Source organism: Homo sapiens, chromosome 8, assembly GCF_000001405.40.
Source record: "Homo sapiens chromosome 8, GRCh38.p14 Primary Assembly".
In the NCBI taxonomy this organism is placed as follows: Eukaryota; Metazoa; Chordata; class Mammalia; order Primates; family Hominidae; genus Homo; species Homo sapiens.
In genome coordinates this window covers 8,181,632-8,198,932 of record NC_000008.11, presented here as the reverse complement: position 1 = coordinate 8,198,932, position 17,301 = coordinate 8,181,632, and the positions used below count along the sequence as shown (strand labels likewise).

At 45.6% G+C, this 17,301-nt stretch overlaps 1 long non-coding RNA gene and 1 pseudogene across 1 annotated transcript in view, besides 4 other annotated features; one reads left to right on the top strand and one right to left on the bottom strand.

The window, feature by feature from the left end:
* The window catches only part of FAM85B (family with sequence similarity 85 member B), a 126,742-nt gene that overhangs the window by 28,571 nt on the left and 80,870 nt on the right, over nucleotides 1-17,301 (top strand). The gene's annotated exons all lie outside the window — the stretch shown is intronic.
* The window catches only part of ENPP7P1 (ectonucleotide pyrophosphatase/phosphodiesterase 7 pseudogene 1), a 62,552-nt pseudogene that overhangs the window by 17,984 nt on the left and 27,267 nt on the right, over nucleotides 1-17,301 (bottom strand).
* Nucleotides 3,776-4,281: an enhancer, noted in NCBI's record as "H3K27ac-H3K4me1 hESC enhancer chr8:8052174-8052679 (GRCh37/hg19 assembly coordinates)". NCBI's record gives its function as "activates a minimal SCP1, AML or CMV promoter by ChIP-STARR-seq in primed H9 embryonic stem cells {active_cell/tissue: H9 hESC(primed)}" and the evidence as "EXISTENCE:reporter gene assay evidence [ECO:0000049][PMID:30033119]".
* Nucleotides 4,282-4,788: an enhancer, noted in NCBI's record as "H3K27ac-H3K4me1 hESC enhancer chr8:8051667-8052173 (GRCh37/hg19 assembly coordinates)". NCBI's record gives its function as "activates a minimal SCP1, AML or CMV promoter by ChIP-STARR-seq in primed H9 embryonic stem cells {active_cell/tissue: H9 hESC(primed)}" and the evidence as "EXISTENCE:reporter gene assay evidence [ECO:0000049][PMID:30033119]".
* Nucleotides 15,681-16,336: an enhancer, noted in NCBI's record as "OCT4-NANOG-H3K27ac-H3K4me1 hESC enhancer chr8:8040119-8040774 (GRCh37/hg19 assembly coordinates)". NCBI's record gives its function as "activates a minimal SCP1, AML or CMV promoter by ChIP-STARR-seq in primed H9 embryonic stem cells {active_cell/tissue: H9 hESC(primed)}" and the evidence as "EXISTENCE:reporter gene assay evidence [ECO:0000049][PMID:30033119]".
* Nucleotides 16,337-16,992: an enhancer, noted in NCBI's record as "OCT4-NANOG-H3K27ac hESC enhancer chr8:8039463-8040118 (GRCh37/hg19 assembly coordinates)". NCBI's record gives its function as "activates a minimal SCP1, AML or CMV promoter by ChIP-STARR-seq in naive and primed H9 embryonic stem cells {active_cell/tissue: H9 hESC(naive and primed)}" and the evidence as "EXISTENCE:reporter gene assay evidence [ECO:0000049][PMID:30033119]".

Below are 17,301 nucleotides of genomic sequence, written 5' to 3'. Positions count from 1 at the left end.
TTGGCATTTGAGATTGTGACATCACAGGCATCTGAACCGCGGGAGAAGGAGTTGGTGGCCATCGTGGTCTAAACTCTGATGGTCCAAATAATTCTGGACCTCCTTCCCCCAATTTTGATGATTCAGGATATATTACCTCCTGTAATTGATTATAGTCAACATTCTGCATTGACCAAGTCAGTACAGGCTCTACTGCATTTTTACAATGTGAACTTTCCATTCCTTTCTTAAACTCTGTTCCTGCCTCTTCTTCACAATCTATTACACAGCTTTCAGGGGCATCAAAGACTGAAACCCTATCTTCTTCTATTTGAAGTTGTTCTAAAGTTGCTTTAATAGTGGCCCAATCACTCCATACTGTAAGTGGGATGATTTTACCTTCCCTAATTGCTTGTTTTAGTTCTTTGCCAATTTTTTCCCAATCTTTTAAATCTAAAGTTCCCTTTTCTGGAAACCATGGGCGGAATTGTTCTATTGTTTGAAATAGCGTAACTAGATTTTCTGTAGAAGCTTTAACTCCCCCTCTTCTTAAGAGAATTTTAATGAAGCTGAGATAAGAAGCATATTTACTTTCAGTTTGCCCCATTGTTATCCTGGATTCCTCCCAGCACACAAGCTAACCGCAAGGCTGACTGTGGACGTACTCGGGAATCTCTCATCGGCTGTACTCAATGCTCACGTTCTTAGCGTACCTTCACCCTAGAGAAGGGCCCCACGCTGGGCTCCAGATGAAGGGGTGGTCTGCCCCTCCACACCTGTGGGTATTTCTAGTCAGGTGGGATGAGAGACGGAGAAAAGAAATAAGACACAGAGACAAAGTATAGAGAAACATCAGTGGGTCCAGGGGACCGGCACTCAGCACACCAAGGACATGCACAGGCACCGGCCTCTGAGTTCCCTCAGTTTTTATTGATTATGATTTTCATTATTTCAGCAAAAAGGAATATACTAGGAAAGCAGGGTGATAATAAGGAGGTCAACAAAAAACATGTGAGCAAAAGAATCTATATCATAATTAAGTTCAAGGGAAGGTACTATGACTGGACGTGTACGTAAGCCAGATTTATGTTTCTCTCCACCCAAAAATCTCAGTGGAGTAAAGAATAACAAGGCAGCATTGCTGCAAACATGTCTTGCCTCCCATCACAGGGCAGCTTTTCTCCGATCTCAGACTTAAACAAATGTACAATCGGGTTTACATCGAGACTTTGAGTTCCCAGGGGCAGGCAGGAGACAGTGGCCTTCCTCCATCTCAACTGCAAGAGGCTTTCCTCTTTTACTAATTCACCTCACCACAGACCCTTTATGGGTATCGGGCTGGGGGACAGTCAGGTCTTTCTCATCCCACGAGGCCATATTTCAGATTATCACATGGGGAGAAACCTTGGACAATACCCTGCTTTCAAGGGCAGAGGTCCCTGCGGCTTTCCACAGTGTATTGTGCCCCTGGTTTATTGAGACTAGAGAATGGCAATGACTTTTACCAAGTATACTGCTTGTAAACATTTGGTTAACAAGGCACATCCTGCACAGCCCTAGATCCTTCAAACCTTGATTTTATACAACACATGTTTTTGTGAACTCCAAGTTGGGTCAAAGTGGTTGGGGCAAAGTGGCTGGGGCAAAGCTACAAATGAACAACATCTCTGCAAAGCAATTGTTTTAAGTACAGATCTTTTTCAAAATGGAGTCTCTTATGTCTTCCCTTTCGACATAGACACAGTGACAGTCGGATCTCTCTTTCTTTTCCCTACACAAATAAAGAGCCCAGTGCCTTTTCTCATTGCTCAAGAGATTGAAGGGGTAGGAAGAAAAGATGTTAAGTTATAAACATGTTTCAGTTTTGGTACCACTTGAGCCAATTTATGTTTTGAAGAGGAAAGGGTCTTGCCTACTAAGTCAGTCCCTGGGTTTTCCTTCTGCTTATGGAATCCAGGCAATGGGCAAAGAGAAAAAGAAAACTAAGGAATCAGCCAGATGCAGTGGCTCATGCTTGTAATCTTGGCCCTTTGGGAGGTTGAGGCAGGCGGACTTCTTGAGTCCAGGAGTTCAAGACCAGCCTGGCCCACATAGCGAGACCCCGTTTCTACAAAAAATACAAAAAGGTGCTGAGCATAGTGGCATGCACCTGTAGTTCCAGTTACTTGGGAGGCTGAGGTGGGAGAACTACTTCAGCCCAGGAGGTTGAGGCTGCAGTGAGCCATGATTGTGCCACTATACTCCAGCCTGGGTGACAGAGTGAGGTCCTGTCTCAAAAGAAAACAAAAAAGATAAGAAAAAGAAAACTAGGGAATCTGGACAGAATAAGTTTATATATATAATAAAGAACTGAGATAGAACTGGGTTGACTGAATAATTATTTGAGTTGCTTTTGAGTGAATTTTTCCTATTGGAGTCTATCTTTGTTTTTTTGTGTGTGCGCGTTTTTTTTTTTTTTTTTTTTTTTGTTTAGTTTTGTCTTTGTGTTTTTTTTGAGACTGGTCTCTGTTGCCCAGTCTGCTGGAGTGCAGTGGCACGATCTCAGCTCACTGCAACCTCTGCCTCCTGGGTTCCAGCAATTCTTCTGCCTCAGCCTCCCTAGAAGCTGGGACTACTGGGCATGTACCACCAAGCCCAGCTAATTTTTGTATTTTTAGTAGAGATGGGGTTTCACCATGTTGGCCGGGCCTGGTCTTGAACTCCTGGGCTCAAGTGATCCACCTGCCTCAGCCTCCCAAAGTGCTGGGATTACAGGTGTGAGCCCCTGCGCCCAGCTAGAGTCTACCATTCTTTGAATTCACTGCAGTGCAAAGACTGGAACATGTGGAACTCCAGGTGTATATGGGTTATGTAGAGATGCTAGGGGCAGATTAAGGAAGGAAAGATATGAGAAGCCTGCAGAGCATGCTTTCCCAGACTGTATGGGCCCTGGGAAAGGAGAAGTGGACAGAAAGGGAGCACTAGGTACCCTGGAAGAGAAGATTCATCCAAGTCATCAGGGAAGTTACTAATGCAAGGGAAAAAATTTAGAGACAGGGCCAGCCACGCTTCTTCCAAGTCCTTTCTGTCTGCTCAGTCACCTCTATGCTTATTTTTCTTCTTTCCTCTAAGTAGTGTCATGCGTTTTCTTCCTATTCCTAGTCGCTCCTAGTCAACTAACTCCTCTCTTTACCATCTTTTCATCAGAACTTGAAACCTCCTCTCCTTCATGTATTAGTGATCATGTTTCTCCATAATACTGCTAGAAACAAGAATTGAAACCTGGAAAACCTGCATTTGAGAACCAGATCTCCCTCTGCTAGCTATTTGAGAAGTTATTTTGTTCCATTCTTTTTGTTGTTGTCGAAACAGGGTCTCACTCTGTTGCCCAGGCTAGAGTGCAGTGGTTCAATCTTGGCTCACTGCAGCCTCAATCTCCTGGGCTCAATCAATCCTTCCACATCAGCCTCCTGAGTAGCTGAAACTACAGGTGTGTGCCACCACAGCTGGCTAATTTTTAATGCTTTTTTTTTGTTTACTTATTTTTTTTTTTTGTAGAGATGGTGTCTTGCTATGTTGTGTAGGCTGGTCTCAAACACATGGGCTCAAGCGATCCTCCTGCCTTGGCCTCTCAGATGAAATGGGAAAAGTTCTGTTGTCCCCCTCGAAGGGCATGCGATGCGGGTGTGGTTCGTTTATTCAGTGCCCCACTGCTCAAACCTCTAGGAGAGCATGCAGACAGGCAGGGAGACCCATGGCAGTGTCCAGGGGTGAATGTTTATAGTTGAAGCCCCAGTGGGCGTGTGTTACAGGGTGCTCTTTTAGTTTAGCCGTCTGTAGGTAGCTTGTGTTAGTCGGCTCAATTAGACCCCTGCCTTATTGCAAGGAGAGAGGGCTCTCTTTGTCCCGGGGTTCTTGCCTTGGTGTACCAGAAGTGGTGTGATCTCAGCTCACTGCAAGCTCCTACTCCTGGGTTCACGCCATTCTCCTGCCTCAGCCTTCCAAGTAGCTGGGACTACAGGCACCCGCCACCACGCCTGGCTAATTTTTTTGTATTTTTAGTAGAGATGGGGTTTCACTGTGTTAGCCAGGATGGTCTGGATCTCCTGACCTCGTGATCTGCCCGCCTCGGCCTCCCAAAGTTCTGGGATTACAGGCGTGAGAGTGCAAGGTTTTATTGAGTGGAAGTATCTCTCAGCAGATGGGCGTGCCAGAAGGGAGATGGTTTACCCCTGGAGTTGGATGAGTGGCCGGACTCTTCTCCGAATGTCCCAGCCAAACTCTGCGTTGTTCTGCAGTCAGTGGCCTGCGGTGTGACGGTGCCCATTGGTGCGTTCCTGTTGAAGTCCAGCACCCTTGTGTTCCTCTGCTGATGTGCTCCTCTCAAAGTCCAGCTGCCTGTGTCTGCCTGCTAGGGTCTCAGGGTTTTTATAGGCACAGAATGGGGGTGTGGCAGCCAGGGTGGTCTTGGGAAATGCAACATCTGGGCAGGAAAACAAAAATGCCAGTCCTCACCTAGGTCCGTGGACACAGGCCCTGGGGTGGAGCCCTAGCCAGGGACCACACCCTCCTCTACCCAGTACTTCCCTTCCTCACTTCCATATCATTTAAAGGGACCACATTCTTCCCTTCTGAGCACTTCCCTTCTGTATCACAAAGTTTTGGGATTATAGGCATGAGGCACTGGTCCCAGCCAATTCCGTTCTTTTAATGCAAACTAGAAAATAGGTGTTCAGAAAGGCCTGCCCTATCCACCTCAGGGAGTTGCTATGAAGATCAAATTAGACCATGTGCAACAGAAGTTTAGAAAAGATTCCAAAAGCACTGTGCAATGGGAATGTATTTTTAAACTCCACTGAGTGGACTTAAAACTATGGTTTTCTTTCTTTCTTTCTTTCTTTTTGGTTGAGACAGAGTTTCACTCTTGTTGCCTAGGCTGGAGTGCAGTGATGCCATCTTGGCTTACTGCAACCTCTGCCTCCCAGGTTCAAGTGATTCTCTGCCTCAGCCACCCGAGTAGCTGGGATTGCAGGCGCCCACCACCGTGCCTGGCTAATTTCTTTCTTTCTTTGTTTTTGTCTTTTTAGTAGAGATGGGGTTTCACAGTGTTGGCCAGGCTGGTCTCAAACTCCTGAGCTTAGGTGATCCACCCACCTTGGCCTCCCAGAGTGCTGGGATTAAGGCTTTAGCCACCGCACCCAACGTGTGTTTCTTTTTCAAGCAAGAAAACAAATGCCTCTCCCCAGCGCTCACTAAACAAATCCCTCTGTTATTTTTTTTTCCATAGGATTCTTATCCTTCTTGCCCCACTGCAAACAATCTATTTTCTTTTGGCCCTTCCGTCTGTCTGTGAAAGGGTCAGGCTTTCTAGCTAACCCTTAATCAAATATTTTTGATGACCACAGTCAAGACAGTACTTATTATTTTTTTGGGGGAACGGAGTTTTGCTCTTGTTGCCCAGGCTGGAGGGCAATGGCGCAGTCTCAGTTCACTGCAACCTCTGCCTCCAGGGTTCAAGTGATTCTCTTACCTCAGCCTCCCAAGTAGCTGGGATTACAGGTGCACAACACCACACCCAGCTAATTTTTGTATTTTTAGTAGAGATGGGGTTTCTCCATGTTGGTCCGGCTGGTCTCGAACTCCTGACCTCAGGTGATCTACACACCTCAGCCTCCCAAAGTGCTGGGATTACAGGGGTGAGCAACCCTGACTGGCCAGGACAGTGCTTATTAATTCCTGAGATGCATCCAGGAGCACATGACCTGGCTGTGACTGTTCTAACAGAGTTCCCCAAATGGGTGGCTCAGGACAACAGAAAGTCATTCTCTCCAGTTCCAGAAGCTTGATGTCTGAAACCCGCAGGGCCATGCTCCCTCTGAAGGCTCTAGGGGTGAATCCTTCCTTGCCTCTTCTGGCTTCTGGTGGTTGCTGGCATTCTTTGGCTTGTGTCCACATCATTCCATTCTCTTCCTTCATTCTCATGTGGCCTTCTCCCCTGTGTGTCTCTGTCTCTTCTTCTCTTCCCATGAGGATGCCATTATTACTCGATTTAAGGTTCACGCTATTCCAATATGACCTCTTTGTAATTAGATCTGCAGTGACCCTATTTTCTTTTCTTTTTTTTGTGATGGAGTCTTGCTCTGTTGCCCAGGCTGGAGTTCAGTGACACAATCTCAGCTCGCTTCAACTCTGCCTCCTGGGTTCAAGTGATTCTTCAGCCTCAGCCTCTGAAGTAGCTGGGATTACAGGTGCACGCCACCATGCCTAGCTAATTTTTATGTTTTTAGTAGAGACAGGGTTTGCCATGCTAGCCAGGCTGGTCTCGAACTCCTGACCTCAAGTGATCCTCCTGCCTCAGCCTCCCAAAGTGCTAAGATTACAAGCATGAGCCACCATGCCCTGCCCCTATTTTCTAATAAGGTCACATTCTGGGATTCCTGGTGAATGTGAATTTTTGGAAGACAGTATTCAGTCTAGCAAAAGGCAGAACATCGTCATTTTCTTCCCTACCTCAGAAATAAAGAAGTTAACTTCAACCCCTCTGAGAGAGAGAGGCTTCCTGAGCTTCCAACAATCAATTATCCAAATATTAGTCACAGAAGGGCACTAAGGGTTGTGCACAGCACGTGGCCAGCCCATTCTCTGAGTCTGTCAAGTTTAAGGTGAACGCTAATCCTGAATGAGTCTTAAAATGTACTTGGCATATCCTGTTCATTGTAAAATGTTCTCACATTGTGATGGCTGGGGCTTCCCTCTCAGGTGTAATCTGCGAAGTCAGACGTGACACAGCCTGGGTGAGGTGGGCCAAGCCGGGAACTGGGTTAGGAGGGAAGCTGGGGAATGATCTCCAAGGTCTCAGATCCCAAACTGGCTTTAGCCAGATTCACCCAGAGGGATCTCATAAAAAATGCACATTCCGGGGCCCACCCCAGACCTAATGAATCAGAATTACCTGGGAAGGAGCCTGGGGAGCTCTGTTTTCAGAAGCAGCCCAGCCGAATCCTACGGTCAGACAGGGCTAGGAATCGAAACTCAGTCTAGCGCGGTAGTTCCCAAACTCGTCTGTGCTTCAAAAAATACAGATGCTGATGTCCAGACATGGTGGCTCATGCCTATAATCCCAGCAGTTTGGGACGGTGAGGCGGGAGTATCACTTGAGCCCAGGAGTTTGAGACTAGCCTGGAGAACATAAGGAGATACTGTCTCTATAAAAAATTTAAAAATTAGCCGGGCGTGGTGGTGCCCGCCTGTGATCCCAGCTACCGTGGAGGTTGAAGTGGGAGGGTTTCTTGAGCCCAGGAGTTGGAGCCTGTAGTGAGCTATGATTGTGCCACTGCACTCCAGCCTGGGTAACAGAGCGAGGCCCTGTCTCAAAAACAAAACAAAACAAAAAACGGAGTCTATGTCCCATTCCAGAGGTTGAGGTTTAATTGTTCTTGGGTGTGGCCTGGGTTTTGGAAGATTTAAAAAAAAAATCTCAGGTGACCCTAAAGTGTAGATGAGTTTGGAAACCACACATTTAAGGCACACTTGAATGGGGGAGCAGTGAGGTGGCGCGGGCTAGCCGGCCAGAACCCAGGGGTGGGCCAGTAGGAACCAGCATTGCAGAGGCCATTAAGGCTGGGAAGCATAGTGTCTGGGGCCCATAACAATGCTTCGGCATGAATGCTTTAGACCTAAGACAATTGGCTCCTAAATGTGAAAACTGCAAGGCTGAAATGAATGCATGTTTAATGCCTTACAACATTGTCAAGTGATCAGCTGCAACTCCTTTCTGAGGGCATGATGCCTGAGATATGCCTGTAATGCGGGTTGATTTTAATTAATTTAATATGGTGTGGAGTGGGGCCTTCAAAAGTAAAGACGTCAGTTCTAAGTTGGTTGCAGGGTTCTGGGCAAAGGTCTTAAAACCCCATGGTGAGCAGATGGCCAATCCTGAACACCCCAATTTTAAAACAGGGCTTTTTTTCCAAGAGACTTTTTGAAAATAGCTCCTATTTTGAGAGGAGGAACCCTGGCAGGAGAGAGCCAGAGTTAAGCCCAGCTGAGAGGGGGTTGGTAGGCAGGGGCCTGCCTGATCCTCACTGAAGCTTGATACTCAGGGTGAGCTTCCTAAACCAGTGCAGATTTGCCGGCCCACTGAGCCTCCCAGATGAGAACCTGCATTTCAACAAGGTCCTTGATGCAGCAAAGTTTGAGATATACTGGGCTAGAACACTCAGGGGACACAAAGGTTCTCTGAAAACTAAGGAAAATAGGCAGGGTGTGGTGGCTCATGCCTGTAATCCTTGTATTTTGGGATGCCAAGGCGGGCGGATCACCTGAGGTCAGGAGTTTGAGACCAGCCTGGATCAACATGGTGAAACACCATCTCTACAAAAAATACAAAAATTAGCTGGGTGCGGCCGGGCACAGTGGCTCATGCCTGTAATCCCAGCACTTTGGGAGTCCGACGCGGGCAGATCACGAGGTCAGGAGATCGAGACCATCCTGGCTAACACGATGAAACCCTGTCTTTACTAAAAACACAAAAAAATTAGCCGGGCGTGGTGGCAGGTTCCTGTAGTCCCAACTACTCGGGAGGCTGAGGGAGGAGAATGGCATGAACCTCGAGGAGGAGCTTGCAGTGAGCCGAGATTGCACCACTGCACTCCAGCCTGGGCAACAGAGCCAGACTCTGTCTCAAAAAAAAAAAAAAAAAAAAAAAAAATTATCTGGGTGAAGTGGCAGGTACCTGTAGTCCCAGCTACTTGGGGGGCTGAGACAGGAGAATAGATTGAACCTGGGAGGCGGAAGTTGCAGTGGCCCAAGATCGCACCACTGCACTCCAGTCTGGTGGCAGAGTGAGACTCCATCTAAAAACATAAAAAAAAAATACACAAATAAATAAAAAATAAAAATAAATACTGGGCTAGAAGACCCAGGAGACCCGAAGATTCTCTCAAAACTAAGGAAAATAATCTAGGTCACAAATATATTCTCTTCCTCCTTCTCCCCATTGCCCCCCTTCACCAGTAATCTTTATAGACTCAAATCGAGTTGATGTTCTATAATCAATTCTAGTCACTTTTATTTGTATTTATTTATTTTAGAGATGGGGGTCTCACTCTGTTGCTCAGGCTGGTCTCAAATTCCTGGGCTTAAGTGATCCACCCACCTAGGTCTCCCAAAGTGCTGGGATTACAGGCATCAGCCACTGCACCCGGCTGTCACTTTTATTTTTGATGTTCAAGTTATAAGCTAATACCTGTGAGACCATAGATTCTTTTTATGCACTCAATACACTTTCTTGTTTACCTTATATTTGTATTATGGAAAAGTTCTGTTTTTTCCACTTGTTTATATTTGATAATGAAGCCCTCTGTGCCTATCACCAGCCTCAGCCGCCATCATCTCATTACCAAGCTGGGTTATTTTGAAACAAATATCTTCTAATATTTAGCCGGTGTTCAAATTTCCCTAACCATCCTAAAGGAATGTTTAGAACAGTTGTTTCATTGGAAAGAAGGTCAAAACAAATACATTTTACATTTTTAGGCCAGTCTTGAAAGTAAGTGTAAAACCATGTGTGGGGTAGGAGGTGGGACTAGACTCTCAAGGTGGGGCCTGGATACCAGACCCAGTTGAGGACTAGCTAAGACAGATTCCACAGTGAATAACACCAGGAGGTGGGAATATTAAGGTCCATTGTGAAGGATGGCTACCACAATTTTTTGATCAACTAGTTATCAACCCTGACTGAAGCTGAGAGAGATTTGTTTTTGCTTTTTTTTCTTTTTTTTCAGAGACAGGGTCTTGCTACGTTGCCCAGGCTGGACTCAAACTCCTGGGCTCAGGTGATTCTTCTGCCTTAGCCTCCTGAGTAGCTGAGACTACAGGTGTGTGCCACTGTGCCCAGCAAGATTTTAAAAAATACGTATGCCTGGACACCACTCTAAACCAACTAAATGAGAATCAGATATCGTGAAGTCACTAATCATTTTGCTCCTGGGTCTTTATGACAGTTTTGCTCCTGGGAAACTCTTGGGAATGTGGTAGAGAGAGAGAAAGAGATGGGAAAATAAGATTTTAAGAAGTGTTGCTATGCATTTTGAAAATAATTTTTATTTGGTGTTTGTCTTGAGGGAAGGCGGTAAACATTTCAATTGCCTTTAAGTGTGCTTGGATGCTGGAACGATGGTTCTTTGAATGCAGCGTCAAACTGGCATTGGGTCACATGGCAGCCAGCATTAACCTTTATGCCACATTTATAAAACATGAATGTCATGAGCCCACTCTCAGAGACCTTATAATTTGGAGGGTTAGGTCAGATCCACAAATCTCTTCTATCTCATGGTAAAGGAAACCTGGCGTGTAGCAGGAGATGGTGTGATAACAATAATATATCGCATGATCAGTATTTGTATTCTTCTTATCAATATTAAACTTTTTGACCTCCTCCATTGTGTCATCAATTTGCTTAATACAGTTTCTGCCTCAGCGTCTGTTTTTAGGCCTGGCATAAGCTGTTTGAAACCCAGGCACATACCCCACCCATCATCTTTGGCCTAGTTAACACCTCCCCTCCCTGCGTGGTGGTTTGGAGAACCTGCTTGTTCCTCATCCCACTGATCCCAAACCCAGGACACCCCACAGCTGCTGACCAGGATTAAACCTAAGGGAGATTTAATGCCGTTAAATCAGAAGAAATTCTGATTCTCAGGGACTGACATTCATTCACTTAAATACTTGCAGAGTCGGCCAGGTGTGGTGGCTCACACCTGTAATCCCAGCACTTTGGGCAGCCGAGGTGGGTGGATCACGAGGTCAAGATTTCGAGACCAGCCTGGCCAACATGGTGAAACCCCGTCTGTACTAAAAATACAAAAATTAACTGGTATAGCTGTGCGTGCCTGTAATCCCAGCTACTCAGGAGGCTGAGGCAGGGGATTTGCTTGAACCTGGGAGGTGGAGGTTGCAGTGAGCCAAGATTATCCCATTGCACTCCAGCCTGGGCAGCAGAGCGAGACTCTGTCTCAAAAAACAAAAAACCCAAAAACTTGCAGAGTGAATTTAGGAAACCATGTAGTCTACAGTTTGATGCAATGTCTTCCTTTTCCTCTTTCTCAAATATTTTGAGCCAGGTACTATCCTAGATTGTCTTGTGATATTTACAATCTAGGAGAAGGCAGGAGAGAGAACTAAGAACAGAGAGCATGTTCTGAGATGTCTGCTGTGTTTGCAGGTACCTTCCCTCAATTTCCCTACTCACTGGCCATGCTGGAAAGCAGGTCTTGGAGCCATATTTGTACCATGGTACTTCCCCTCCCTATACTCAATTGGTTGGCCAGAAGCCCAATTGTCATTCTCTCTCTCTCTCTCCCTCTCCCTCTCTTCCTTCCTCCCTCCCTCCCTCTCCAAGATATCCAGTAACTGATTGATCAGCTGGCGGTGGGCTCTGCTGGCTGCCAGGGTGGGCCACCAGCAAAAAGGGAAAATTGGTTGTGAGTGAGAAGAAGAGATAAGAAAGTCCACAGGGCTGATAAGAAAGACCATGGGCTTCCAGGTGCGGTGGTTCACGCCTGTAATCCCAGCACTTTGGGAAGCCAGGATGGCCGGATCACGAGGTCAGGAGATCGAGACCATCCTGGCTCACACGGTGAAAGCCCATCTCTACTAAAAATACAAAAATTAGCTGGGTGTGGTGGCGGGTGCCTGTAGCCCCAGCTAATTGGGAGGCTGAGGTGGGAGAATGGCGTTAACCCCAGGAGGTGCAGCTTGCAGTGAACTGAGATTGCACCACTGCACTCCAGCCTGGGCGACAGAGCGAGACTCCGTCTCAAAAAAAAAAAAAAAAAAGAAGAAAAAAAGAAAAAAAAGAAAGAGACCATGGGCTTCTGAGAGCAAGAAAGAGGAATTTTGGTTTCTGTAACTGCAGTTTCCATTCTCTCATGGCCTCTCATTTGTTTCTTGTGCCCATGAGTTTGCCTGTTAGAGATAAGGTGTGTTTCTTGTCCTCAAGCTCATGCAAATGGGTTTCTGTTTCTTACAATCATTGTTCCCAGATATGGATGGTGACTGATGCTCTACTAAATGCTGAAAAAAGGCAGAGTGGAAGCACAGAAAAGCGGGCTTCTCTGAGGAGGTGACGTTAGAGCCCAGTTGGAAGGCAGGAGTAAATGTGCACCATGATTTTTTAGGATTAAAACCAAGTATGTCACTGCTTGGGCACATGTAGATAGAGGTGATTTAACGGTAAAGTGTCCCAGTTGTACCCATTGTCAGTTAGCTCACCACAGGGATTATGTAGCCCTGAGTTTGCTTAGTGCTTATTTATTTTAGGATGTTGTTTATCCAAACCTCTTAAATGATACGTGTTTGGAACAAGTAACAGCATCGTTCATTGATGTTGTGGACAAACCACTATTTTGTTACTCAAGACTGGGTAATTTATAAAGAAAAAGAGGTTTAATGGGCTCACAGTTCCATGTGGCTGAAGAAGTCTCGAAATCATGGTGGAAGGCAAAAGGAATGTCTTACATGGTGGCAGACAAGAGTGATGAGAGCTATTTTGCTCATTGTTCGCTGGCCATAGAATTTACTTCTATATTGTGAACTGAGAGCCAGGCACACAAGACGGTTACAGGTCTGTCTTTTGTTTTTGATGATGATGATGATGATGATGATGATGATGAAATGGCTGACATGGTTGATGACTTGCTTTTTCTCATCATCTCAGACCTAGATTTTTGGCTGGACTATTGGCTTGGGATAGATGAAAATCATTCCTTGTATCCCCTTATCTTAAAGTCAAGACTGAACCAGCCTCCAGACTCAAGCTTTCATGGGACTTCAGATACCATGACGAATGGGTGTCCCTGCAATATTGTCATGGCTGTCAAAAGTGTTATTGGAGCTGGGCAAGTGGGCGCTCTCCTGTCATTCCATCCTCCTTAGATTTCCCATTCAACACCAATCTTATTTCCTTTTTTTTTTTATTTTGACAGTCTCGCTCTGTCTTCTAGGCTGGAGTGCAGTGGTGGGATCTCGGCTCACTACAGTGTCCACCTCCCAGGTTTAAGTGATTCTTGTGCCTCAGCCTCCCAAGTAGCTGGGATTGCAGGTGCACACCATCAAGCCTGGCTCATTTTTTTTTTTTTCTTTTTGTACTTTTAGTAGAGAAAGGGTTTCGCCATGTTGGCCAAGCTGCTCTTGAACTCCTGACCTCAAGTGATCCACCTACCTCGGCCTCCCAAAGTGCTGGGATTACAGGTGTGAGTCACCGTATCTGGCCCCATTTCCTCTTATACCATAAGTCATTGCCTGAAGATGTGTTTTCTCCATTAGTTTGCAAAAGCTTCCTGAGAGTAGGTCTGTGCCTCATTTATTCTGGAATCTCCCTGGCACAAAGCACAGGGCTTTATCTTCAGTAGGCATCCAACAAATGTTTCATTTCATTCAACAGCTCCTCTTACCACTGCCTCCACCTTATTTGCAGGTGGCTAAGTACAATCGGAACAAGTAGGTATCATAAGATTTAGTCCAGAGTCAATTTGAGAAGAAATTACTTTAGTGATATGAAAATAAACCATGCTATTGAGTCAGAATACTTCTGAGAATATCCCCTGTCCAAGCATTTGCTGAATTTCTATGTACTAATTTTCAGGTGGAACAGTATGCTTGCAGAGGGTCCATTTGGACATAGATACACTTTCATACATTCATGTCTTTAACAAGAATTTGTGTCCCTACTGTGTTTGTTCACTAACTCCTTTGAACCTACCACATAAGCTATATCTGTATTTTCCTTGTAATTTGGGAGGTCCAGTGCTTCATTACGCTCATATGCCTGAAACTAATGAAGAAAATAGCTCGTTAACCAGCTAGTATAAAAGTAGCCACCAAATCAAGTCAATCACCTGCCTTAAATTAGCCCAGTACTCCCATCTTGAGCGGAGAAGCCCATTCTGAATCACAGTCAAGACATTGATGGAAAAACAACTCCCTCTGGGGATCAAAACCACGCTCACTCCAAATCCTCCTCCCCAGAGTTCTACTCATTGCTCACCCACTGAACCCAGAACTAACCAGAAGTGCTTGAAATGAGGACGGGTAGCTCCATGTACCAATCGGAATTTAAAACTCTATCAATTCCTGCTATAGAAATGAGGCTTCTCCCCAGGACCAGCATTCCACGAAGGCAGCCCTTTTCTAGATGGAGAAAACAGAACCTGAAGACACCCGTTTCCCTAAACTGCTCTCGCTCATGTGTAAGTACAAATGAAAAATGGTGAGGCTGCTTCTGTTGGCATTGCTTTTTAATTATGGCCATCAATAAATCATTTTGTCCTTGAACAAGACTTGAGAATGACCCGAAGGCAGAGGCACAATTCCTTAGGAATTAGGCCAACAGAGAATGGGCTATCTCTCTTCCCACCCCTTCTCTTACTCTGCTGTCAGAAACAGAAACGTTCTCTGTGAGTAGCTGGGAGTAGACGGCCACACTTGAGTTCCATCTCGGGGTTCTGTTAACACAGTTTTACCCCATCCTGCCTCGATGGCCACTGCCACACAAGCTGCATCTGTTCTTTCTTCTGCGCCTTTTGTTACTTCGTTGTTTTTCCTCTTTCTAGTGTAGTGAGCTGAATGGTGGCTTTGCACAATATATATCCAGATCCTTGTGCCTAGAATCTGTGGAGGTGGCATTATTTGGAAAAAGGGTCTTTGCAGATGTAATTAAGTTAAGGATGTCGAGATTATCCTGGAGTAATTTAGGTAGGCTGTACATCTAAAGACAAGTGTCCTTATAAGAGGACACTTTTGTCCCGGCGCAGTGGCTCATGCCTGTAATCCCAGCACTTTGGGAGGTCGAGGCGGGTGGATCACCATAGGTCAGGAGTTTGAGACCAGCCTGACCAACATGGAGAAACCCCATCTCTACTAAAAATACAAAATTAGCCGGGCATGTTGGCGCATGCCTGCAATCCCAGCTACTGGGGAAGCTGAGGCAAGAGAGTTGCTTGAACCCAGGAGGAGGAGGTGGCAGTGAGCTGAGGTCATGCCATTGCACTCCAGCCTGGGCAACAAGAGTGAAACTCCATCTCAAAAAAAAAAAAAAAAAAAGGACACCCTTTTTCTGGCGCGTCCGTGTGAAGAGACCACAAAACAGGCTTTTTGTGAGCAATAAAGCTGTTTATTTCACCTGGATGCAGGTGGGCTGAGCCCAAAAAGAGAGTCAGCGAAGGGAGATAGGGGTGGGGCCATTTTATAGGATTTGGGTAGGTAAAGGAAAAAGGGGGGTTCTCTGGCAGGCAGGAGTGGGGGTCACAAGGTGCTCAGTAGGGGAGCTTTTGAGCCAGGATGAGCAAGGAGAAGGAATTTCACAAGATAATGTCATCAGTTAAGGCAGGAACAGGACATTTTCATTTATTTTGCGGTGGAATGTCATCAATTAAGGCAGGAACCGGCCATCTGGATGTGTACATGCAGGTCACAGGGGATATGATGGCTTAGCTTGGGCTCAGAGGCCTGACGTTCCTGTCTTCTTATATTCATAAGAAAAATAAAATGAAATAGTGGTAAAGTATTGGGATGGTGAAAATTTTTGGGGGGTGTTATGGAGAGACAATGGGCGATGTTTCTCAGGGCTGCTTCCAGTGGGATTGGGGTGGCATGGGAACCTAGAGTAGGAGAGATTAAGCTGAAAGAAGATTTTGTGGTAAGGGGTGATATTGTGGGGTTGTTAGAAGAAACATTTTTCATTTAAAATTATTGGTGATGGCCTGGATACAGTTTTGTATGAATTGAAAAACTAAACAGAATAAGAGAAGGAGAAAAACAGGTATTAAAGGACTAAGAATTGGGAGGACCTAGGACATCTAATTAGAGAGTGCCTAAGGAGGTTCAGCATAGCCTTGCCAGCAAAGATTATTTAAGAGTTAAGAGTGGTGGTTTGGGGATAGCACCAGGAGATGTCAGCTGTGATGGCTTGGAGAAACAGTGTAAACCACCAGTGTAAACAAGAGCAGGGCATATATGAGTAGTTGAGAATGGTGAATAGGAGTATGGCTAGACAGAAGATAGTAGGGATGAGAAGTTTTTTGGGGCACAGTCCAAGTTGGTCTTGTGTCTGGAATGAGACTGGAGCCTAACAAAAAGGAGTGTCTATACAGGAGATCCAAGGGGTATCGGGGGACCTGCCCCGATAATCACGTAGGTTCTTCTCTATTTTCCTAAGCATTGACTGGCTTGAGAAATAAAAGGACAGAGTACAAAAGAGAGAAATTTTAAAGCTGGGCGTCCGGGGGAGACATCACACATTGGTAGGATCCATGATGCCCCACAAGCCACAAAAACCAGCAAGTTTTTATTAGGGAGTTTCAAAAGGGGAGGGAGTATACGAATAGGTGTGGGTGACAGACATCAAGTACTTAACAGGGTAATAGAATATCACAAGGCAAGTGGAGACAGGGCGAGATCACAGGACCACAGGACCGAAGTGAAATTTAAATTGCTAATGAAGTTTTGGCACCATTGTCATTGATAACATCTTATCAGGAGACAGGGTTTTGAGATCAACCGGTCTGACCAAAGTTTATTAGGCGGGAATTTCCTCTTCCTAATAAGCCTGGGAGCGCTATGGGAGACTGCAGTTTATTTCACCTCTGCAATCTCGACCTTAAGAGACAGGTAAGCCCCGGGGGGCCAGTTCAGAGACCTACCCCTAGGTGCGCATTCTCTTTCTCAGGGACGTTCCATGCTGAGAAAGGAATTCAGTGATATTTCTCCCATTTGCTTTTGAAAGAAGAGAAATATGGCTCTGTTCTGCCGGGCTCACCAGCGGTCAGAGTTTAAGGTTATCTCTCTTATTCCCTGAACGACTGCGGTTATCCTGTTCTTTTTTCAGGATGTCCACATTTCATATTGCTCAAACACACATGCTGTACAATTTGTGTACTTAACGCAATTATTACAGGGTCCTGAGACGATATACATCCTTCTCGGCTGACAGGATTAAGAGATTAAAGCAAAGACAGGCATAGGAAATCACAAGGATATCGATTGGGGAAGTGATAAGTGTCCATGAAATCTTTACAATTTATGTTTAGAGATTGCAGTAAAGTCAGGCATAAGAAATTACAAAAGTATTAATTTGGGGAACTAATAAATGTCCATAAAATCTTCACAATCCACGTTCTTCTGCCATGGCTTCAGCCTGTCCCTCCGTTTGGGGTCCCTGACTTCCTGCAACAAATGGGCTGTACCTTGTAGCATTCCAAGGACAGGCCGGAATTCTGAGAAGGGAAAGTGGTAAAAGTATTGTCCAGTCGTTTTTAAGTTGGTGGCTGAGCTTGGTAAGGTGTG